The sequence below is a fragment of the Homo sapiens genome, chromosome 2 (assembly GCF_000001405.40).
Source record: "Homo sapiens chromosome 2, GRCh38.p14 Primary Assembly".
NCBI lineage: Eukaryota > Metazoa > Chordata > Mammalia > Primates > Hominidae > Homo > Homo sapiens.
Genome location: NC_000002.12, coordinates 232,304,963 through 232,326,352, shown reverse-complemented (window position 1 = coordinate 232,326,352; position 21,390 = coordinate 232,304,963). Strand labels below are relative to the sequence as shown.

General features: G+C 50.8%; 1 protein-coding gene across 4 annotated transcripts in view, besides 1 other annotated feature; it reads right to left on the bottom strand.

Annotated features, from left to right (window-relative positions):
• Nucleotides 1–21,390, bottom strand: part of DIS3L2 (DIS3 like 3'-5' exoribonuclease 2) — a 382,638-nt gene that overhangs the window by 17,998 nt on the left and 343,250 nt on the right. The window lies entirely within an intron of this gene.
• Nucleotides 10,815–10,984: an enhancer, noted in NCBI's record as "active region_17319". NCBI's record gives its function as "activates an Ori minimal core promoter by ATAC-STARR-seq in GM12878 lymphoblastoid cells {active_cell/tissue: GM12878}" and the evidence as "EXISTENCE:reporter gene assay evidence [ECO:0000049][PMID:35858748]".

Genomic DNA, 21,390 nt, shown 5'->3' with positions numbered 1-21,390 from the left:
TGCAAATGGGACCTGGCACCACGGGTCAGAGAACTGAGCTGGACGGTGCAGGGTGGGTGGGGTAGGGAAGGTGGGAGTCAGGGCTCTCATCTGCGGCCAGCACAGGCTCCACAGTCCCCCACCCTGTCAATTCCCTGGTGGGCCAGCAGGTGGCGCCCAGCCTCTTTCTCCCCAAGGTCCTGGGATGGGGAGGCTCCAGCTTAGAGCCTAGGCGCTCCTATGGGAACCCAGGGCCAGAGATGACCCGGTCAGCAGGGCCCTCTCCCCTGACCTCCTCCCTCCCTCTCCTGGGGAGCTGTGCTAGGTGCACAGCCTAGGCAGCCAAACCTCCGAAACGCCCCCAAGCTATCCTGGGTGGTCAGGTTGAGCCGCTCCACACTCTGGGCCACGGGAGCCCCGAAGGGCGCAGAGTGGGCACTGGGGCTGCTGGACGGGAGGGCGCCCTGCCCCCTGCCCTGGCCTCATACCTTCCTCCTCTGATGTGGGCACTGGCCCTAGTGTCACCCCACTCCTCCCAGCACCAGGGGCACAGGCGTGAGATCACTGGGCCCTGCGGGGGATGGGGCGCTGGAGCTCAGGGACTGCCTGACAACTGCTTTCCGAGGGGCTGGGAATGGCTGCCAGCCAGCATCACCTTCCAGAACAGCAAGCTAAGGCCTCGGAGACGGGGGCCTTGGATCCAGGCCTGGCATCAGCCAAGCGTCTGGAACCTGCACCACCAGGGCCCCACCACTCTGGAGGTCTGGGGTGGGGCTGTGCTGTGACAGTGGCTGCAGGGCCAGGACCCCAGCTCCTCGGCACTCACTCCCAGCACCTCTCCTCCCTGGTTCTGGGCCTCCCTGGGGCAGGAGGGGGTGGGGAGGGGGAGGCTCAGGTATGAGGCTCAGCGAGCCCCTCACAAACTGTGGCAGACAGCAGAGAAAGGCCACCAGCCCCCCGCACACGGTACACACTCCCCACAGCAAGGGTGACACTGGTAGAGACAGAGGTTCCCACAGTGCACAAACGTTCCTCTAAAGAAAAAGCAACAACATCAATATATGAAACGCAGGGCTCTTCATGCGTTTACGACAGGGCGTCCTTCACCCTGAAGGTGCCGGCGAGCATCAAGACTGCAGAGCCAGCCACTGGGTGCCGCATTCCTGCTGGCTCAGGTGGGACCTGTTTCTGTCGCATCTTAAAGGACGATGCTGGGAAAGGCTGCTCTCACCCTGGCAGGGCTCAGAGGTGATGAGATGAGAAAGGGGTAAAGCGATCTGCTCTTCAGAGGAAGCCTGCCTTCCCTGACCATCGAGGAACTGGATCTGAGTATTTCTCTGCTCAGCTGAAAGGCTGGGGCTGGGTTTTGATAGTCAGGGATCCAGGGCATCTGTGGCCAGGAAGGTCCTGTCTGGCAGGTGGTAGGGGTTGGGGGGTGTCCCTCCCCTCTCCTGGCCCTGCCATGGAGACAAGGGGCTTCTCCTCAGTGGCTTGCATGGAATGCCAGCCCTACCACTCACTTGCTTCTTAAGCTCATGTAATCTCAATTTGTTTCCCTGTAAAACAGGGAAGCAATGTTCAAGTTCCTGGCCTCGAATAAATAAGACATTATTATTACACATCTTATGATGTGACTGGCCTGGGTGCCCCAACTCTAGGACTTGGGCAAAAAACACAGTAAAAGCAACATTTCTAGAAGTTTCTTCTGCCTCCCCTACCCTCACCACAAAGCCACCCTCTGGCAAGGAGGCCAGAGGTGTCCCATTTCAGATCCATGCACCTGATAAAGTGCTGACAAACTCACCTCACCCCTTCCTCACACAGGACACTCAGAGAGTGGCCTTGGAAATGAGCGGGAGCCGGGGCAGAGGGGCAGGACCAGTGCCCAAAGCTGAAAATTAGTCCATTTTCAAAGGCCAAAGGCAAATGTGGGACAGAAACAGCCTCTTCTGCCCTCAGCCACCAGGGCCCTTGTCACGCTCTGTGGGAGGCTCCTGCTAATGGAATGAGGCCACTCACAGAGCTTGTTCAATTAGCTCTTGCTGAAAACTGCTAACGTGGCTTTGATAAGAATTGCTCCCAGCCAATTTCAGCCTCATTTCTTCTGCAGACCAAATTTTCCACACTTGGGCACACGCTGCCTGTAAGCTCCAGAGCCCTGGGCTCTGCCGAGGCCATGAAGGCAGCTGCTGGGCCTGTCTCAGAAGCTGTGTACCCAACCATGGCCTCTTCTCCATGGCTGGGCAACCCATGGGGTGCAGGTGATGGCCACCTTTACGTAGAACCTGCTGTGTTCTTAGCAGCTGGAAATTGAGTGTAGTGTGGTGGAAACCGCAGAGCCCTGGGAGGCAGGGGTCTACGGAGCACTGAATTGCAGGCTGCTGGGGAGGGAAAGTGGAAGAGATCTTGGTGGCAGCTCTGTTCCAGGCCAGGCCGGGTGGGGCTGGGTGCCTGGGAGCTGGAAAGTGGAGGCCTGGAGAAAGGGAGCCGCAGGCAGAGCACCTTGCCTGGGTCGGGGAGGGGGATGGGGAGAAAGTGCAGCTGCTTGACTGATGGACCCCCACCCACAGCTGGCCATGCACCCTGCTGCCAGTCTCCAGCAGAGGGTGCCGTGGCCTCTGGGTGGCCCACCAGTCACAGCTCGGGCCTCTCGCTGACCCCTCTCCTCCTGCGCGCACTGCAACCTCCTGAATGCATTGGACGTTCCCATGAAACCACAGAGAAATGAATGGGGCCCAGTTCACAGGCATGGAAAAGCCCAGAGGAGAAGGCCTCTGGAGCCAAACATCATATGCCTGCAGGGGAGGCCAGAGCCAGGTTTCCTAGGCTGGGAGGCTCAGTCCATGGCAGGGCCTTTCTATAGGTGAGTGGGCGGGCCCCTGCTGTAGCCAGACACATTCTGCACCTGTTTTTCTAGCTCCAAAGGAAGGAAGTCCCCAGAGGCTAGATGGCCACATTTGGGCCCTCAGGCCTTGCCAAAGGGAGCCCCAGTGGCCGTAATGGGGAGCGAAAGGAGACTTGCTGGGAGCTGGGGCCGGGCTGACAGTGCAGAAGGCCCTTGTCAGCATAAAGCCAGCCCAGAAGCCTCATTCGCTCCCCAAGTTCGGGCTCTGCTCCCAGAGGTAGGGGCGGCCTGCAGGCTGGCAGCGGCCCTGCCCCCAAGCAGAACCAGGTGCCAGTCTGTGCTGTGTGGTCTTGCAGAGCGTGGTCATTAGGGCTTGCTGGCTGCTTTATGGTGTTGACACATAAGCCTCTCTCCAGTGCCAGCCCCTGCCCAACCGGAACTGGAAACAAGGTCCTGAGGAGGGGTGGCACGGGCACACAGAAGCCTGGCCACCTGGGGGAGTCCCCACAGTGCCCCCAACAGCTTTGCTTGCTGCCCTGCTTGCTCCTGGCCAGGGGTCCCTTTCAAGCCCCAGCAGGGGAAGCTGGCTTCGTAGACTTGGAGCAAGAACAGAACTGGGCCATCACAGACTTAAGGAGGCCAGCTGGGCCATCGCAGACTTAAGAAGGCATCGACTTCGGTTTTAAAATTAGGCTCTGGGTAATCGGATGTTCAAGGAAGAAGGGTGTTCTGGAATGCACAGGTCTTTCTTTCTCTCCGTCTCTCTCCTGCACATACACACGCTCTTACACCCACACGTTACCAAGGCAGCCACAAAAACGAGAGAGAAGCCTGGGCTTCCTGGGACCTTGAGCAGCTTTGCTGCTGCAAGTTTGAACGTGTGCTCACATCTGAAAACTGCTCCTGCCCAAACGGCTGCCAGGTCAGATCCCCTTCAGCAGGGCCACCACCCCAGCCACACAGCCACTAAAGTCTGCAGGGAAACAAGCGTAGAGTGGTCTCTGCACTTCCTCATCCACTCCTCACTGGTCCCCCACACCCAGTGCATGGGGAGGGGACTGTGGTCCTAAGGTGACAGAGGGAGATGGTGTCTCTGGGAGGCCACAGAAGTGACCACAGAGGTCCCATGCCACAGTGTGGCAGGGCTGGATGTGGAGACTGCCAGGCACTTTGCCACTCTCGGTCCATCTGAGTCTCAGAAGTCAGAGTTCTCATGCCTGGCAGGAGCACAGGGAGCTCAGTGAGCTCGAAGGGCTTGCCCAAGCTCCCAGACCCAGGGTCCCTGACACCCCATCCATGCTTTGTCCTCAGGTGACCCTGCATCATTTGCTCTGAACCCTCTGAGGAGGAGGCAGCAGCCAAAGGCTGTGCTGACAGTGGGAACTCAATACAGAGCCCACCCTGAGAGCACATTGCTGCCCAGGGGTCAGGCACCCCCGTAGTCAGCTACGTCACTACCATCATCCTGCCCCTGACTGCTAAGGGCGCCTCCTCCCCTCTGCCAGACCACAGCAGCTGCAGAGCCCAGGGTCACCCATCTGAACCTGGCTTTCCACCTGCCCGGCCAAGCCCCAGGGACAGAGCCTTTCCCCTGGCCTGCTCCCTGCCCCTAGGCCCTGAGGCTGGTCACAGGCACAGGCGCACACACATGGCCCCCTGCAGCCACCGCCTGGCTGGGCTGGGACACTGTTGCCACCTTGGAAGCCTTGTTTCCAGGCCCCCCTGGAAACAAAGGGGGGGCCTCTTGTTTGCCTCTGTCCCGCTGCAGTTGGATGAGGGCAGAAGCAGCACTCAGGCCCGCGCCACGGCCTCCCTGATAAGGCTGCCCCCTCCTGGTTGCCTCAGGCTCAGGCCCTTTCCTGTCTGAGTCGCCCAGGGCTGAGCAGGGTTGCTTTTCCTGCTCTTGGTTTCGCGTCACTGCCGAAGGCGCCCTGTGCAGCCTCTCCTTTGCTGACGCTCCTCCCACCCCCCACAGAGACGCACTGGGCCTCCGGGTCAGGAGGGCAGGGCAGAGTGGGCCACGGGCCACGGCAGCAGTGGGATGCGGAAGGCCCCTGCCCCTCAGATGCCTTGGCCCACATGACATCATGGCCCCTGGGTGACAGCTGGGCCTCAGGTGAGCCTCTTTCTAGACTGTTCCAAGAGGGAGTTTTTGTGCTGAGCTCGGAGCTGGGCAATGCATCCAGGCATCCCCCATGTTTTCCCTGGTGAGCTCCATACAGTCAGAGAAAGCTCAGGAGGTCTCCAGGTCAGTCCCTCGCCCAGGTCTGAGTGTGGCATGAGGTCCTTAGCTGCTAGTGCTCTGGGGGTCCTTGGTTGTCACACTCCCTGGCCCCCCGCAGGCTTTTGCTGGCCTGTTCCTTGCCTCAGCCCTGCTCACTTACTGGCCACAAGGAGATCAGTGCCTCTGTTCCCAAGGGACTCTTTGGGGCCTCCTCATGGGTGACAGGCACCCAGACTCTTAGGCCACCCTGGATTTCCACTCTGCCCCCTCTGCTCCCCGCACCCAAGCCCACCTTCTCCACTCAGCAACTCGTGGGGCTGTACAGGTTCAGTTCACACATCTCCCTCCCTGGCTCCATGGTCCTGTGGGCTGATTCTAAACCACATCTCAACAGTGAATCCAGACTGTCCTTCTCTGGAGGCTAGTTTTCCTCTGCAGACCATAGGCTGTTGGGTGGGGAAGGGAGGGGAACACCTAGCCGTGCCCATCTATGTATCCCAGAGCTGAGCAGCACATGGAGGAGCTGGTGAAATGTTTGGGGGAACAAATGAGGTATTTCAGAGACATGACTTGCTTGTTTGCTCCACAGAAAACGTTGAGTGCCAAACAAGACTTATTTTCAGGGGTGGAAGCACAGCCCCCTAGTAATAAAGGACTAGGAGTGGCAGTTATGGCTCCTGCAACTTCCCTTCAGCTTATCACTGTTGAACCAGAGGTGTATGAACTTGGCAGAAGAAACCCAAGATGGCTTCTGCTGGCCTAATGGGACAGGCTACATTTGCCTCGATACATTCTTACTGCCTGTATATGGTTATCACTTAAATCCAACACAGGTGACAGGTGACAATGTCACTGGGACTCATCTGTTGGTTGCATGATGAATGAATTCTCTCCTGCAAGGGCAGCCTGCCTCAGTATAAACATGAAACACAGAAGATTAAAAGAAAACTCCTTTTGTCTTGTTTTTTTTTCCACTGAACTAACGCTCGTCTTATCACCCCCTGGAACACAGCATGTTGAGTTTGGCAGAGCTCTGCATTCATTCTGTGACTTTTAAAATATTGACACACAGTTTTATGACCTAGGTTCAGAGCGGTTTCAATGAATGTGTCCCCCACCCCCCCCAGAACATTCTGGGCTTCCCTGACATCTTCATGTGCCCACCCCACGTGGCACTGAGGCCCCAGCTCTGCCCTCTCTTTGTCCACAGGAAGGGGTAGGGTGGGTGGGGTGGAGGGCGGGGAAAACCATAAGACTGCTGGGTTTCATCTCCACTCCTACCCAAAGTCAACCAAAGACTGCTGAGTGCTCTCGCACAGCCTGTGTGAAGACTTCAGCCCTTTCCCCGACGCCACTCTCATTCTACCTGAGAACCAAGACCAGAACAACCTGGATTAGGCCCTGAGTCCTTTCAGGCAGGCTGGGTCAATCGTAAGTCAGATGGTGAGGCCAGACCATGCCAAAGCGTGACTGGACCTGAGGGCTCTGCTTCCCTGAGCTACCACTCTGGAGGCCAAGCCCATCTTGTAGGGCAGCCTGGGTTGCAGAGGGCAGCCCTGTTTATCCAGGATTTTCAGATGCATTAAGAAAGCTCTCCTGGTACCTGGGATGCTGACTAGCAATCTGGGAGCTTCTTCACAGGTAGGTTAGGCCAAGCCCAGGCAGCCAAGCCCAGGCAGCCTTCAGGCCTCCCCTGGGTGAGAATTGTTGTTCCTGGTAGAGGCTGTAGCACCCAGAACTCTCTGGCCTCAGTCCAGCTGCCTCTGCCTGGGAGGAGGCCTTGCCCAACACCCCAGGAGGGCCCTGTGTGGTCCGCTGAGCTGTGCAGCCACCAAGATGGAGAGTAACTGTGCTGTCTGATTAATGGTGCTTATGCCTGTCCATTTACCAGTAAATCTTTGTGATACTCAAGCCCAGTTCCTCATGTGCCATGTTTGGCTGTTGTGGAAGTACTGTCAAATGGTCATTTGCAACAAAACAAAGAACTGGCTGCTAGTTTCACCAGGACATGCTTATACGTAGCATGCAGTCCAGGGTGTGTCCACTGTGTGCCAACCACACAGTGTCGTGTGCACCCCACATGGGAAGGCCAGTGTGGTAGGGTGCTGGGTGCTGTTGCCCTCTGCTTCTCTCAACCACCACAGTGTCTTGTGTGCCAACCACACAAGACACTGGGTGCTCCTTACTCGATACCATCTGCCCAGGAATGGCCCAGCCAGCCATGTGGGAGCAGACCACACCTCCCTGCTGGGTATGGAGGCCAGCAGTGCTAAGACTGGCAGTAGGAGTTCTGAGAAAGGAGTGGCCATGGCCACTGCACTCAAGGAACATGAAGGGAAGACCCCCGCCCTGTGTTGTATCTGGAATGCTCCTGGGGTTTCAGGGAGAGACGGTGGGGAGGTGGTGGGAAGAAGAGCCATTCTCCTTCTATCCATGATCTTTAGGGATTCCTCCTCATTCCAACAAGCATGACAAGATGGAACACAGAGGCTTGGTGAGGCGGCTCTCTGCTCTGCTCAGTTCTCCAGGGCTTGGCCAGGCCTCTTCCCTCTGGTTCTTGTCCCATGACTCTGTCCTGTCACCTTCTCACTTGCCTCCCCTGGGGTGGGTTGGGGCCTACAGGGTCCCACACTGACACTCCAGCCGGGAGAAGCAGAGGGCAACAGCACCCAGCACCCTGCCGCGCTGGCCTTCCCATGCGGGGTGCTCACAACACTGAGAGCCACTCCCTGCATCCTTTGTTCACCTCCCCCCTGGCCTTTGTCACCCCCTTGCAAATGCTGTCTTACATACCTGTCTTCCTCGATGGGCTGTGGGCTTCAAGGGAAGGAACTGGGCCCTTCTCTTGTGCTCAGTGCAGTACCTGGCACTAATAGGCGTCCAATAATGTTTGCTGGACAAGCAAACGAATGATGTTTACAACTGGGCCAGAGAACACTTGGCGAAACTGGTCCTCCAACCCACGAGGGTGTGGGCAGACTTCTCAGCGCCCTTCCATGAACTCTGAGGACTTTCCTAGGGGTCGTTTTCTAAGTTTGATGGTGGGAAAGGGCCCATGTGGCACAGAACACAATTCTGAATATAAGGGCTTCCTGAAGATTCTTGCAAGTTACCCTTGTTTGAGCCCAGCTTCCTGGGCACCCCGACCACTACTGGCCTCTGGCCTCTGGCCTCTGTGGAGGCCTGGCCTTGCAGGAGTGGGTTCTCCATTGTGGATCGGCAGCTTCACTTTATAACAGAGCCCAGAGGGCAGCAGCAACTTGCCAGTATTCTTGTATTGCTAAAGTCAGGGGGGAAAGGTAGGGCACTGTCAACCACACACAACCTGGGTAACCTTAGGCAGACTACTTAACCTCTCTAACTTCTTCTACCTACCTCGCAGGGTTATTCTAGTGAGGATTAAATGAGATAAACTTTGTTATCTTATTTAACATTATAAGCTCTGACCTATTGTTAACTATTCCATAAATATTAGTGTTATTATGAAAACCTTCTGCACTGAATTAAGGAGACAATTAATTCAGTGACAATTCAGAGACAATTAGAGGTGTAATTAAAAAATAGAAGAGGCTAGGAGTGGTGGCTCACACCTGTAATCCCAGCACTTTGGGAGGCTGAGGTGAGCAGATCCCTTGAGGCCAGGAATTCGAGACCAGGCTGGCCAACATAGTGAAACCCCATCTCTACTAAAAATACAAAAATTAGCCAGGCGTGGTGGAGGGCACCTGTAATCCCAGCTACCCGGGAGGCTGAGGCACATGAATCGCTTGAACCCGGCAAGCAGAGGTTACAGTGAGCAGAGATCGGGCCACTGTACTCCAGCCTGGGCAACAGAGTGAGACTCTGCCTACCTTCTACCTCCCCACCCCGCCAAAATAGAAGAATGTTAGGAACACAGAACATGAGAGGAAAAAAGAGCAAATACTGCATACTCCCAGGAGACATTTGTCCAGCATCTGCTGAACACCTCTGTGTTCCCAACACTGTGCAGGGGCTGGGATGAAGTGACTGTCCTTGCTCTTGGGCACAGGGAATCAGATCAACACACACTCACTCCCCTACCTCCCAACCCCTGTCCAAATCTTATTAGCATAAAAAGTGGCTTGTTTCCGCAGCACTTACTGCCTGGGCGAGGAAAGCCTTTCACACACATTCTCCACACTCTACCCACAAATGTGTTTCCCTTCCATTGCAAGGACTGTCCATGGGTCATGAAGCCAAGGGTAATAACCTGCCTCCCAGGGCACACAGCGAGGTACTGGTGGTTCTGAGGCTAATGCTGCCTTAAGGATGTGAGAGTTAAGCTCGATGACACTAACAGCTGGGAAATTCACCAGGAAAAAAGCCCAAAGGAATGAAAAGTTCCTTCCTCTTCAGGAACGGTACAATGAAAAATCACAACAATGGTTTCCTAGAAGATTTATGACACAAAAGATAGCGACCAGCTAACTGATCTTTTATCTACACCAAAGACTTAATGACAGGAAACAGATTTAGATTAAACTGGAGGGCTGTTAAACTAAAGAAGAACAATTCAATAATAAGCACAATATCTTGCTTACCTAAAACTTAATCACATTTGATCTTATGTCTTTGAAACATGAAGCAGAACCAGGAAATAGGCAGAAGCAGGGCCTGTGGGCAGCCAGCGCAGAGGTGGGGCCGGGAACCCAAGTGTGCCTCCTGGGAAGTCCTTCCTTCCCACCTCACTCAGAGCCTTTCCTCCCATTGAACAGAATCCTAACAGCTTGCCTCGGCTTCCTCACAGATTCCACGCTCCCCACAAAGCCTCATGCTTGGAGTGGCTGGAGAGGGTGCTACAGGTTCTCCGGACAGCCACGGAGAAGTGACAACTGGCCCTGACTGTAAAGGCAGAGACAAAGACAGGGCAGGGCCCCAGCAAAATCAGTGAAAATACACAGCATTGTGTGGACATCTAGTGTGGAGGCGAATGACACTGTGGAGTACAGGGGACCCCATTAAAGAACAGGACATAATCGTAAGGAACAAGGTTTTGGCGCCTGGAAGAATAAATCCTCTCTGTAGAATGACTCCTTCCTTCTTATTCTAGGTAGCACAAACATTAACAGATTTATAGAACAACAAAGGCTGTGCTGGAAGCTGATGAGCCGCTGCCCAGGAGGCTACTGTGAAGCCGCAGTGGCATGCCAGGGCTCGCGAACACACAGACACACCAATGCCAGGGCACTCAGGGAAGGGAGCTGCTGAGAGCGGGGTCCCCGACCCCAGGTGATGAGCCATGTCCTCTGCCATCTCTGCTACCCATTCATCACAGTCTACTCTCCAGTTTGGCACCTACCCCCTACTGGTAACCCGGGCTTGGAGGGTGGACCCTGGGTCTCACCTAGCTTTGGGGTAGGTGTGGGGTCACATGGGGTTGGCTTGGGGGTAGCCCAAAGTCAGTGGAATGATCTATGTTGTTCATCTCAGCCAGGCCTTGCTGTGTTGGGCTTTCAGAGCAGCTGCGGAAGTTGGCCACTTCCTCTTGCTTAATTCAGTGGGCATGAGCTGGGCGCTTGCTCTGAGTCACTCTACGAAATCTTTTCGCAGCTGTGTTCCGGCCATCAGAGAAGCATCCGCAGAACAGACAGCAAACATGTTCTTCTTCAATACGTGAAGCAGCCACTAGGCGATTTATAGCCATTGATAGCCTGTGCCTGTCATCAAGCACAGCAATTCCTTCAGGCTCTAGAGGCTTCCTGCCCAACCACCAAGAAAAAGCCACAAAGCCTCAGAGAGCTGGGAGTGGCAGTGAAGACAGATCAGAAACACTACCCCACAGATAGCACAGCCAAAAGCTAAGAGAGCCAAGCACATCTGGTTACCTGCCAGGCAGCCACAGAAGATGACAACCATGGGCACCTTTCTTCAGGCTCAAACCCAACATGCAGTCCTATGACCTGTTTCTTTTATGGGCTAACCTCCTTGAGAGTATATCTCAGACCTCTGTGGCCTGAGCCTGGGCTCTGGGCTTTCAGTACCGGAGTGAGGGTTTTTACAGCAGAGACATTTGCTACTTTAAGTACCTGAATATGCCCTGGGTCTGGGCCAGCACACCGGTATGGGGGTGGGGAGGGCTGGAGGCGCTCACCCCACTTGCCAGGAATTGAGTGTCCCTGTTCATCAAACAGGGACCTGGCCTGAATATCACAGTCTCTTCTAGAACTCCTTGAAGTCTTGGGAAGGGGCAAGCCTCCTTGGGTTTAAAGACCGCCTGGCAGTACTATCTGCTTAAAAAGCTTAGCATGAGGGACCAGAGAGCTGGCTTCCCCCTGGGGATGCAAACCTGTGGTTGGAGAAATACCCAGAGAGGCAGAGAGAGAAACGAGTCATTCCAGGACCTTCTGAGAAAGGTATGGATGTGGCAGGTACAGATATACGGAAAACAAAAATGGTCATTCTCACCGACCCTCTGTCACTGGTAAGAACACATCTTCATGTGCTATAAAGTAACTGGGAAAGAAAATCAAAGAGCTCCGAGTCATGCTGGATTGCTGCAGCGCCAGGAGGCTCCCCAGAATGGAGGGAGCTGCAGTCCATCGCAAAAACATGAAGAAAGCAAATGGCAACGTGACAGACAGGAAATCTTATTCAAGAAAGGGAAAGTGTTAGCTGCTTAATGTAACTCTATGTTAAATCGACAATGAAAACATTTACTCTTTAAGGTCTTTAAGAGTTTTGAAATATCTAGTTTTGAGAGTTCCTGGTGTTCTAGAATTTTCTGTCTCATAGGGAAATCTCTTGGGGCATCCATGGGTATTTGGGCTGCAAAAGGTGGAGTGTGAGAATAGTGAGGGGCATTCTCGGGCTAGGGAGCTCCCTTCAGCCCCAGGGCCCTGAGGCCTCCGGGGCCTGCTCGGTTTGGGTCTCGACCCTCTCTGTCCTCTTCATTCCTCCAAGTCTCAGCGAAAGGGATTCTGTGAACCCATGTAGGATGCATAACCCTCAAAATGGGACAGCTGAGACTCTACAGGGCTTAAAAATATAGGATCTACCTTGCAACCTGAGCAGCCCGCCCAGGAGGAAAGCCTTCAATCCTACCTCCCAGCACCAGACAACAGGCGACAGAATGACAGCACAGGCTGGAGAATGCCCTATACTGGGCCCAGTGGGTGCTGGGCCGGTGCTGAGGAGGGCTGCAGCCCTTTAGGGCCACAGGCAGGCCCAGAGGGCTCCTTTCCATGGCAATGGAAATCAGGGAAAGGTGGGATGGGGCAGGTGATAGTGTCATATGGTTTGGCTCTGTGTCCCCACCCAAATCTCATCTTGTAGCTCCCATAATTCCTATGTGTTGTGGGAGGGACGTGGTGGGAGATAACTGAATCACGGGGGCAGGTCTTTCTCATGCTGTTCTCATGATAGTGAATGGGTCTCACAAGATCTGATGGTTTTAAAAATGGGAGTTTCTCTGCACATGCCCTCTCTTGGCCTGCTGCCATCCTTGTAAGATGTGACTTGCTCCTCCTTGCCTTCTGCCATGATTGTGAGGACTCCCCAGCCAGGTGGAACTGTAAGTCCAACAAACCTCTTTCTTTTGTAAACTGCCCAGTCTCAGGTATGTCTTTATCAGTAGCATGAAAATGGACTAAAACACAGGGATATAAAGAGATTTGGGGTAGGAGGTTACTGGGGAAAGGAAAAGATGCTGCATATACCTGTGAGGCAATAATAGTTTAGCAACTTTTCTCTCGGTCATCTATGACAAAAGTGGTATTTTTACGACCTCGTGGGTTCACGTTCAATATTCTACCAAGGAATCAGGGAGCAGTAAAGAGAGCATGGGTTTTGAAGTCAGACAGATCTGTTTGAATCCTTGTTCAAATGTACAGCCATGAGATCCTTCTGTAAAATGGCCAAGGCAAAACCTCCTCACAAGGTTAAAATGAGGAGTAGCAGTCTTGTGATAAACATTAGTTCCTTTTCATTTAAATAAAAAATCAGATATCATTTTCCTAGCTCCTAGCTCATAAATCACCACTTAAAACTTAAAAAAAAGTTCCCAAATTGAAAACTCATCTTGGGGAAAAATAAAGTGTATACTAAAGAGAACACCAGTAAAAATTTTCATTTTCATAATCTAAGAGTGAGTTTGTGGTAAAAACTCTTCTGTTTGAGATCAGGAACAAGACATAAATGCCTATTATTATTATGTCCAGAAATACTGTACAGTGCAATAAGGCAAGAAAAATAAATACATGGCATGAGAATTGGAAAGGAAAAAGTAAAACTGTCATTATTTGCAGATGACATGATGAGGTACACTGGAAATAAAAAAGCATCTACACTGAACTGAAATATTGTTATGAAAAAAAATCTACAAATTATTTGAACCTAATAAATAAATTCAGGAAAGTAATTGATAACAAGGTCAACAAAAATAAACCATGTTTCCTTGTATTAGCAACAAAGAGAAAATTAAATTTACAAATACCATTTAAAATAGTACCACAAATCAAATACCTAGGAGTAAATCCAATGAAACATGAGCAAGATCTCTAACAGAAAATTATATTGAGAAAAATTAAAGAAGCTCTAAATAGAGGGAGGTACCATGTTTGTGAAGACTCATTATCATAAAAGTGTTGATTTTTCCCAAATTGACATATGGATTCAAAGCAATCTCAATATAAATCCTAGCAAGTTTGTGTGCATGTATGTGGCAACTGACAATCTGATTCTAAAATCTATATGGAAATGGAATGGGCCAAGAATAGCATAGGTGCTCTTTATAGAAAAAGTCCAAGTTGGAAAGTGTAGCTCTACTGGCTATCAAGATTTTTATACAAACATGAAGGTAGTGTGGTACTGGTACAAGAATAGATATATAAACCAGTGACACAGAATGGAGAGCAGAAACAGATCTGTGCATATGGGTACTTCATTTTTGACAAAGGTGGCAGTGCTAAGCTATGGGAAAGTATTTTCAAAAAATGATGCTGGGTCAACAGATACCCATATGAAAAAATAAACTTGCTGTACCATTTTCAAAAATCAATTCTAAGTAGATTCTTTTAGAATATAGACAAAGATTTCTTAAATGGTATACAAAAAGCATTTAACCATAATAAAAAAGATCGACATACTGAACTCCATTAAAATTAAGTACTTCTGTACGTTAAAATAACACCAGAGGCAGTAAAAAAGCAAACTACACAGTGGAAGATATTTGCAACATGTATAAGCAACAAAGAACTGATATCCAGAATATAGAGGACTATAAATCAAGAAGAAAAACAGAAAACCCAGTAGAAAAACAGGCAAGAAATTTGAAAAGGCACTCTACTGAATGGCCAATAAACAGATGAGCTCTCACACACTGCTTGTGAAATTACATATGATTTCAGCAATTTCATTCCTATTATATACTCAAAAGCAACACATGCATATGTGCACCAAAAGACATGTACAAGCAGATTTATAATAACCCCAAAATGGAAACAATACAAATGTTGACTGAACAAATGCAGATTGGATAAATTGATGAATGGACTATAGATGCAACAGCAAAGATGAATTCTCACAAATATAATGCTGAAAGAGAAAAGCTGGGCACAAAAGAGAATATAGTAAATAATTCCATTTATATGAAGTTCAAAGCCAGGCACAACCAATCTACAGTGTTAGAAGATAACAATGGTGGTATCCTTTTGGGAGGAGTGAGGGGCACATGGGAGGCTCCTGGAAGCTGTAATGTTCTATTTATTATTTATTTTTAAATAAAAATTTGTTAATTGTCGTTACACTGCCCGGGCTGGTGTCATACCCCTGGGCCCCAAGCAATCCTCCTGCCTTGGCCTCCCAAAGTGCTGGGATTATAGGTGTGAGCCACTGCACCTGGCCATGTTCTATTTCTTGACATGGATGTGTTCATTTTCTAACAATTTCCTTGAACTAGATGCTTATAATTTGTACACTTTTCTCTATGCATGTCATAATTCAGAAGTAAGTTTTACAAAGCAAGCTTATTGTAAAAACCTATTTTCCAGTATGTGCACTACAGAAAAAAATAGCAGAATGCATAAGTCACACTATATGCTGAGACATGGACCAGTGTTCCTGTGTGTGTACACTGATGTATGTGACTGGTCTGTGGCCAGCACAATCTGCCGATTTTTGCGGCTCCCCCATTTCCTTGTTTGGGTCAGTTCTGGCCTCAGAAAGCCAGAAAGAGCTGAAGGTCTAGTGATTTCTACAAAGGGTCCTGAGCACCATAGCTCAGCAGCATGGGAAACCTCTGCCGAGGCAACTGAGTGCTATAAAATATGACTTCAGACTCTGTCCCTCCCTGGTTCTCCCAGCAAGTGGGGAATAGGCACTGACTCAACACAGCTGAAAAAGAGCTCCTCCTTGTCCTGGCCCTTTGCAGTTCAGATTCCATGTGGAGGAGACTGGGTGACTGTGACTCCAGAGGAGATGGAAGCAATACAGGAGGCAGCTGTGCTGCCCCAGGCCTTGCTGCCCTCCCTGCTCCTGGACCCATGGGCAACTCAGTGCCACTTCTGTGTAGTTGTTCTAGGGCCCCACACCTGCTTGCATCAGATAGCTGGGGTAGTATCCAGGGAGAAGCCTGCTGGATGGTCCTCTTATGTACAGCTTGACCTTGCACAGGGCACCTATCAGGGCATCTGTTTCTCTCTCTCTAAAATGGGAGTGTTCATACCCTCTTCTCCTCTTCCTGTAGATAAAACTGAGGTTAAATGAAGCACTGCTTGTTGGCAGACAAAATATCCTGATTGCTGCTGCACGGAGTGAGGTGAGAAGAGAGCAGAGCATAGAGAGCCACGGCCATCCCTCTGTGTGGGTGGACGGTGGAGAGACACTCCCTTCGCTGAACACTACCCGAATCCAGCAGTGGAAGCAGGAGTTGTGCCTGCATCATGCTGATGCCAAACACTAACGGCTGTGGTGGAACAGTGAGCTCACACCTGCACTGTGAGTGGCTGACTCCCACGTGCACAATACAGCTGCAGGCTTGCACCCATGAGCTCACGCCTGGCACCTCTCTGGCTGCATCGCTTCCAACTTCCCCCAAGCCCCTCCTCTCTCTTGATTTCAAGCCCCCCTTTCTCCTAAACTAAGGCTTCATCAGGAACAAGAAAGGCCTTCTTCAAGCTAACCTGGCAGTGTCTGGGAGGCCTGGAGGCTCTCGCCCTCTGCAATGAATGGCTCTTAGGTAACACTGCTGCTTAGCCTGAGGAGCTGGCATCAGTTCCAAGGTGCAGACAGAAAGTGTCATTTCCAAAGTACTGGGAAGTGTTGGTGCTGGTTTGAAGTTGTCAGAGCTGCTGGGAAATATTTCCTCTGCTTATTCAGGATGAAGGCAAAGGCAAAGAACCAAGCAGGGGGGAAGCTAATTAAACAGGACTTCATCCAGGAACACCCTGCTCTGTCCCCTCCTCAAGTGCAGCAGCCAGGAAGAGGCATCACTCAGATCTTCTACTACTGACAATGTCCCCAACTGCAAGTGCTCTGATCCACCACTGCATCTGCCCTGAAGTCACACTTCCTGTGAGCACGCCTCCAGGGTCCTAATGCAGGCCAGGTCCTGCAAGATGTGAGGATCCTCCAGCAGTCAGCTTTGGCTTTGGCTTTGGCTTTGGCTTGAGGACTTTCCGTCAGTGAACCTTAAAACTGGGCCGCAGGTGGGAGCCATTGTGCGGGCCTGTAATCCTAGCTGGTGGGGGTGCTGAGGTGGGAGGATCTACCTAAGCCCAGGAGATTGAGACCAGCTTGGGCAACATGAGATCCTATCTCAAAAAAACAAAACTAAACAAAAAAACCTGGGCCGTAGCCTGAGACTCTCCCTACCCAGCCCTCCTTCCTTTCCAAATTCCTTCATAAGGGCCAGACTTGTGTTGAGGTCTGAAGGCTCTCTCTGCCTTCCGCTACTCTCTCCCCTTTCATCCTTCACAGGCATCTTCCTCCATATGTTTCTCAACATCCAATCCCATCTCAGCATCTGCTTCTCTGCAGATCTGAACTGACGCAAGTGGGACAGGAGTGGTTCTGAGGAAACAGGCAGAAAGATAGAGTCTGGGGAGTGGCTCACTCACTACCTAGTGGGCAAAGGGGATGCTCTTCTGAGTGGTGTGTGGGCAGGGACAGGCCCTGGTACAAAGTTGTGGCTCAGCTGCTCAAAGACTCACCAGCAGTGACCTGGGAAGAAGCTCCTGAGTCACTGTGATAATGCCAGCACGGGAAAGCCCTGGGATGCATACTGTCTACAAGGGCTGGTTGCTGTAAGGTGAAGGAAGCCCCGGGCCTGCCCCTGTTCCCTCCCCTCATCCTTCACAGGCCTTCCCCCAACACCTCTCGTACATTAATCCTGCTTGGGGTCCACTTGTCAGAGCACCTGAACGAACCCATCACATCCTCCATGATAAACACAAAACAACAGAGAACCGCAGTGTGGTTTTAGGGTTGGTTCTCTAGGTCTATTGTGTCTAGAGAGTGTGTTCTGAGACCCCGGGGGATGCCAAGCAGGCTAAGCCCCCACGGGCAGGGGGCATGTTGGGAAGCAGAAAGAACTATGTGCTCAGGTGCTGGGGAAGAGAACCCAGGTGTCCTTACAGTGACCTGAGCTAGCAGGTGCCTGTGGGCTGGGGAGAGGATGTACAGCCCAGAACTGCCCTATCCTCTGGAAGGCTGCAAGGAGTACTGTCCTTCAAGGCAGGCTCATGAATGCGGCAGACACTTCAGCCGAAGGAAATCAATCCCACAGCGTAGCTCTCTCTCACACATCTAGAGGCCAGCTAGTAAGTTTAATGATGTGTGTTTCAAGGTCCCAAAATGAGTCCAGTAGCTAGGCAGGAAAAAATGGAAGATTTTCTCTTGTTAAGTTTAGCAAACTAACCTGTTCTAAGAGTAAGAACTGCAGTAAGGCAGAGGACCTGGCTGTGAGTGTCAAGGAGGCTCTGAGAGGTCCGCAGGGACAACGGATCTGCCAGCAACTGCTGGCCTCACTGTCTGGACCAAGTGAGGCACAACTGCCAGCAGGGCAGAGGAGCAGGCACCCCAAAGCTAGGGCCTGGGTCTGCCAGGGTCTACTACAAGGGCCAATCAGGCAGGTATTCAGGGCAACTGCACCCCCAAAACTACGAGGTCTTTATAACTAACACAGCCACATCACATACCACTGAATGGATGGTGACCTGCCAAGCAGCGTGACTGGCCTAACCCAGAACTCTGATGACAAGTCAGAAGCTGCCCATCTGACCTGGGGTTCACAGGGACTGGAAATCCCAGGATTTCCCAGACAGCCTTCCCAAGCAGGCCTGCTTAGAAACGGCTGGAATCAGCACTCCCTGCAGCTTCCTGGCATGGAGAGAAAGGCAGGTGTCATGAAGGCACAGCACAGGCTTTAGAATTTGCCACAACTGGCCAGGTTCTGCCCTTGACCTCTGTGGCCTTGGCAGGTGAGCCTCTTCAGACTCTTCAGTTTTGGTTTGTTTTTATTTTTTATTCTGTACAATTGTGAAAATAATAAAACCTCTCAGACTCTCACTGGTTTTATTTTTATTTTTTATTGTGAATATCCTTCTTGAATGGTTTTAGACTAGAACTAACCTGGGTAAGCCCCTTGCCTGGTGTCTGCGGGCACTCAGAAGATGGTAGCTCCCATCATGATTATGGTACATGGATCATAAAGTCTAGATGTCGTGAACAAGAGTATAGCCTTGCAATCGAATTCAGCTTCCACAAGTTTGTCTGACATGTTTAATGCTCTTCATAGCTATCACTGTTCTTCACTACCCGGCAAAAAATGGCAAAAAAAAACTGATGTAAGTGACTGTAATTACCACTATATTTAGAGTTAAGCCACATTTTTACAGCTTCTTTTCTCCATGTTAGCTCTTCAGAATTCACAGCTATCCATGAAGACAGTTTCCCTGATGTCATGTGTAATTTAATCATCATGATAATCCTACGGCAAATGAAAAGACAAAGCTGGAAAGAAGCTTGACTCCTCAGTAGCCATGCTCCCTCCCTTCCTAAAGGACTAAATCAGGTCCCCCACCTTCCCTTCATCAAGCATTATTTGCCAGATAGTGGATTAGGCACTGTGGGTACTGAAATGAAAAAAACAAGACCTTGACCTCAAAAGCATCAGGCCAGTGGCGGAAGCCAACAAGCAAACCCACAACTGAAAGGCACAGTGCTAAGAGCTGACATGGAGCAGACAGGCACGGCACAGGGCCACGGGGAAGGCACATCTGACCCAGCTTTGGTGGTGCCTGTGAGGGGTGTGGAATGGCTTCCCAGAGGAGAAATACCTAGCTGAGAGTGGAAGGAGAAGCAGAGGTTACCTAGATGGGTGGGCACGGGGTTCTGGGAAAGAGGGATGTTCTAGAAGCAGAAAATGGCATGACAACAGGGACACGTTGTACGCAGGAGCGTGAGGTAATCTGGTACAGACAGCATGTAGGGTGCCAGGGCAGGAAGACAGGATGGGTCTGTATGGCAGGCAGGTGGGGTGGGATCACAGGGCTGGCTGCCTTGCTGCTGAGGAGTGCCCAGTCCCTTCCACTGGCACATGGGCCTCTGTTGGCAGCATCAGCGTTTATTCAGCTCTGTGGCCCCAGGGCCTAGAACTATACAGGTATATAGCAGATATTCTCTATACATTTGCTAAATGAGTGACCATATTTAAGTTTATTCAGATCTCCGATTCTGACAAGATAGTAGACTGAACTGATGTGGACCTCCTTCCCAACACAAACACAGAGAACTAATAGATAAAATATACCAAAATAATAATTTAAATATATTATTGAGTATAGAAGAATAATGAGAAAATTCTCAGATGCTTGAAGTGAAAAAAAAATTAAGTCAGAGCTGTAATTTTTACCGTGGCAACTGGGGGCCGGGAGTATCAGACGTTGATACAGTTACAGGAGCTAAGATTTTAATGCATGCAGGAGGCAGAAGACCTGGCCATGGAACTGAAGACCTGGTCATGGAACTGGAACTGAGATCCCCACATAAAGCCAGGATCCTGGGAGCTGTTGGTCTTTGAACAAAGAATCAGGAAGACCTTTCTCACAGAGCAGAGGAATGGCCGTATGTGGCACAGACCAGAGGCATCTCCTATGAGAAATGGAGATGTGAAGCCCACACGGCACATGGGTGAGGAGTCAGAATGTGGCCTACCCAGGAGGTGAGACTCCTAAGCCAAGGAGTTAACATCCAAACTAGCAGGACCTATGAACCTCCCTGGGTCTTGGCAGAACATATGCAAAAGTGATAAGATAACACATCCACAACCCACAGTATGTGGAACTCCCACTAAACACAATCCCTACTTAAGATGATCTTTTTTTTTTTTTTCTGAGATGGGGTCTTGTTCTGTCACCCAGGCTGGAGTGCAATGGCACGATCTCAGCTCATTGCATCCTCTGCCTCCTGGGCTCAAGTGACTCTCCTGCCTCAGCCTCCCGGGTAGCTGGTCTTACAGGTGTGTGCCATCACGCCCAACTAATTTGTGTATTTTTAGTAGATACAGGGTTTCACCATGTTGGCCAGGCTGGTCTCGAACTCCTGACTTCAGGTGATCCTTCTGCCTCGGCCTCCCAAAGTGCTGGGATTACAGGCGTGAGCCACTGCGCACAGCCTAAGATGATCTTATGATAAAAAAACAAGTTGCAAGAGAAAATGAACCACGTAAGAGTGAGTCAATAGACACAAGAAATAAGAGAATTGGTACTCTTGGAACTAGAACTAAAACTCTTCAAATAACTGGAAAGAGGCTGTAAAATAAATACAACCAAAATAATTAGGGAGATAAAAGAAAGAATAGAAATCATAACAGAAGACTAGGACACCAAAAAAATTAATTAATAGTAATAGGCGGATTTTCAAAAGCACCAAACAGAACTTCTGAAAATTAAATATAAAAACCAAACATGAGGACAGGCGTGGTGGCTCACGCCTGTAACCCCAGCACTTTGGGAGGCTGAGTTGGGCAGATCACCTGAGGTTAGGAGTTTGAGACCAGCCTGGCCAACATGGCGAAATCCCATCTCTACTAAAAATACAAAAAAATTAGCCCTGCGTGGTGGTGCGCGCCTGTAATCCCAGCTACTCAGGAGGCTGAGGCAAGAGAATCACTTGAACCCAGGTGGTGCAGGTTGCAGTGAGCTGAGTTTGCGCCACTGCACTCCAGCCTGGGTGACAGAGCGAGACTCCATCTCAAAAAATAAATAAAATAAAATAAAAACCAAATATTCATATTGGGAAGGGTTATTAAGCAGCCGATAGTAAACTGCTACAAGGAGAATAAAGTGACAGACACTTTTGAGGAAGTTGCCTACAATGCAGCATT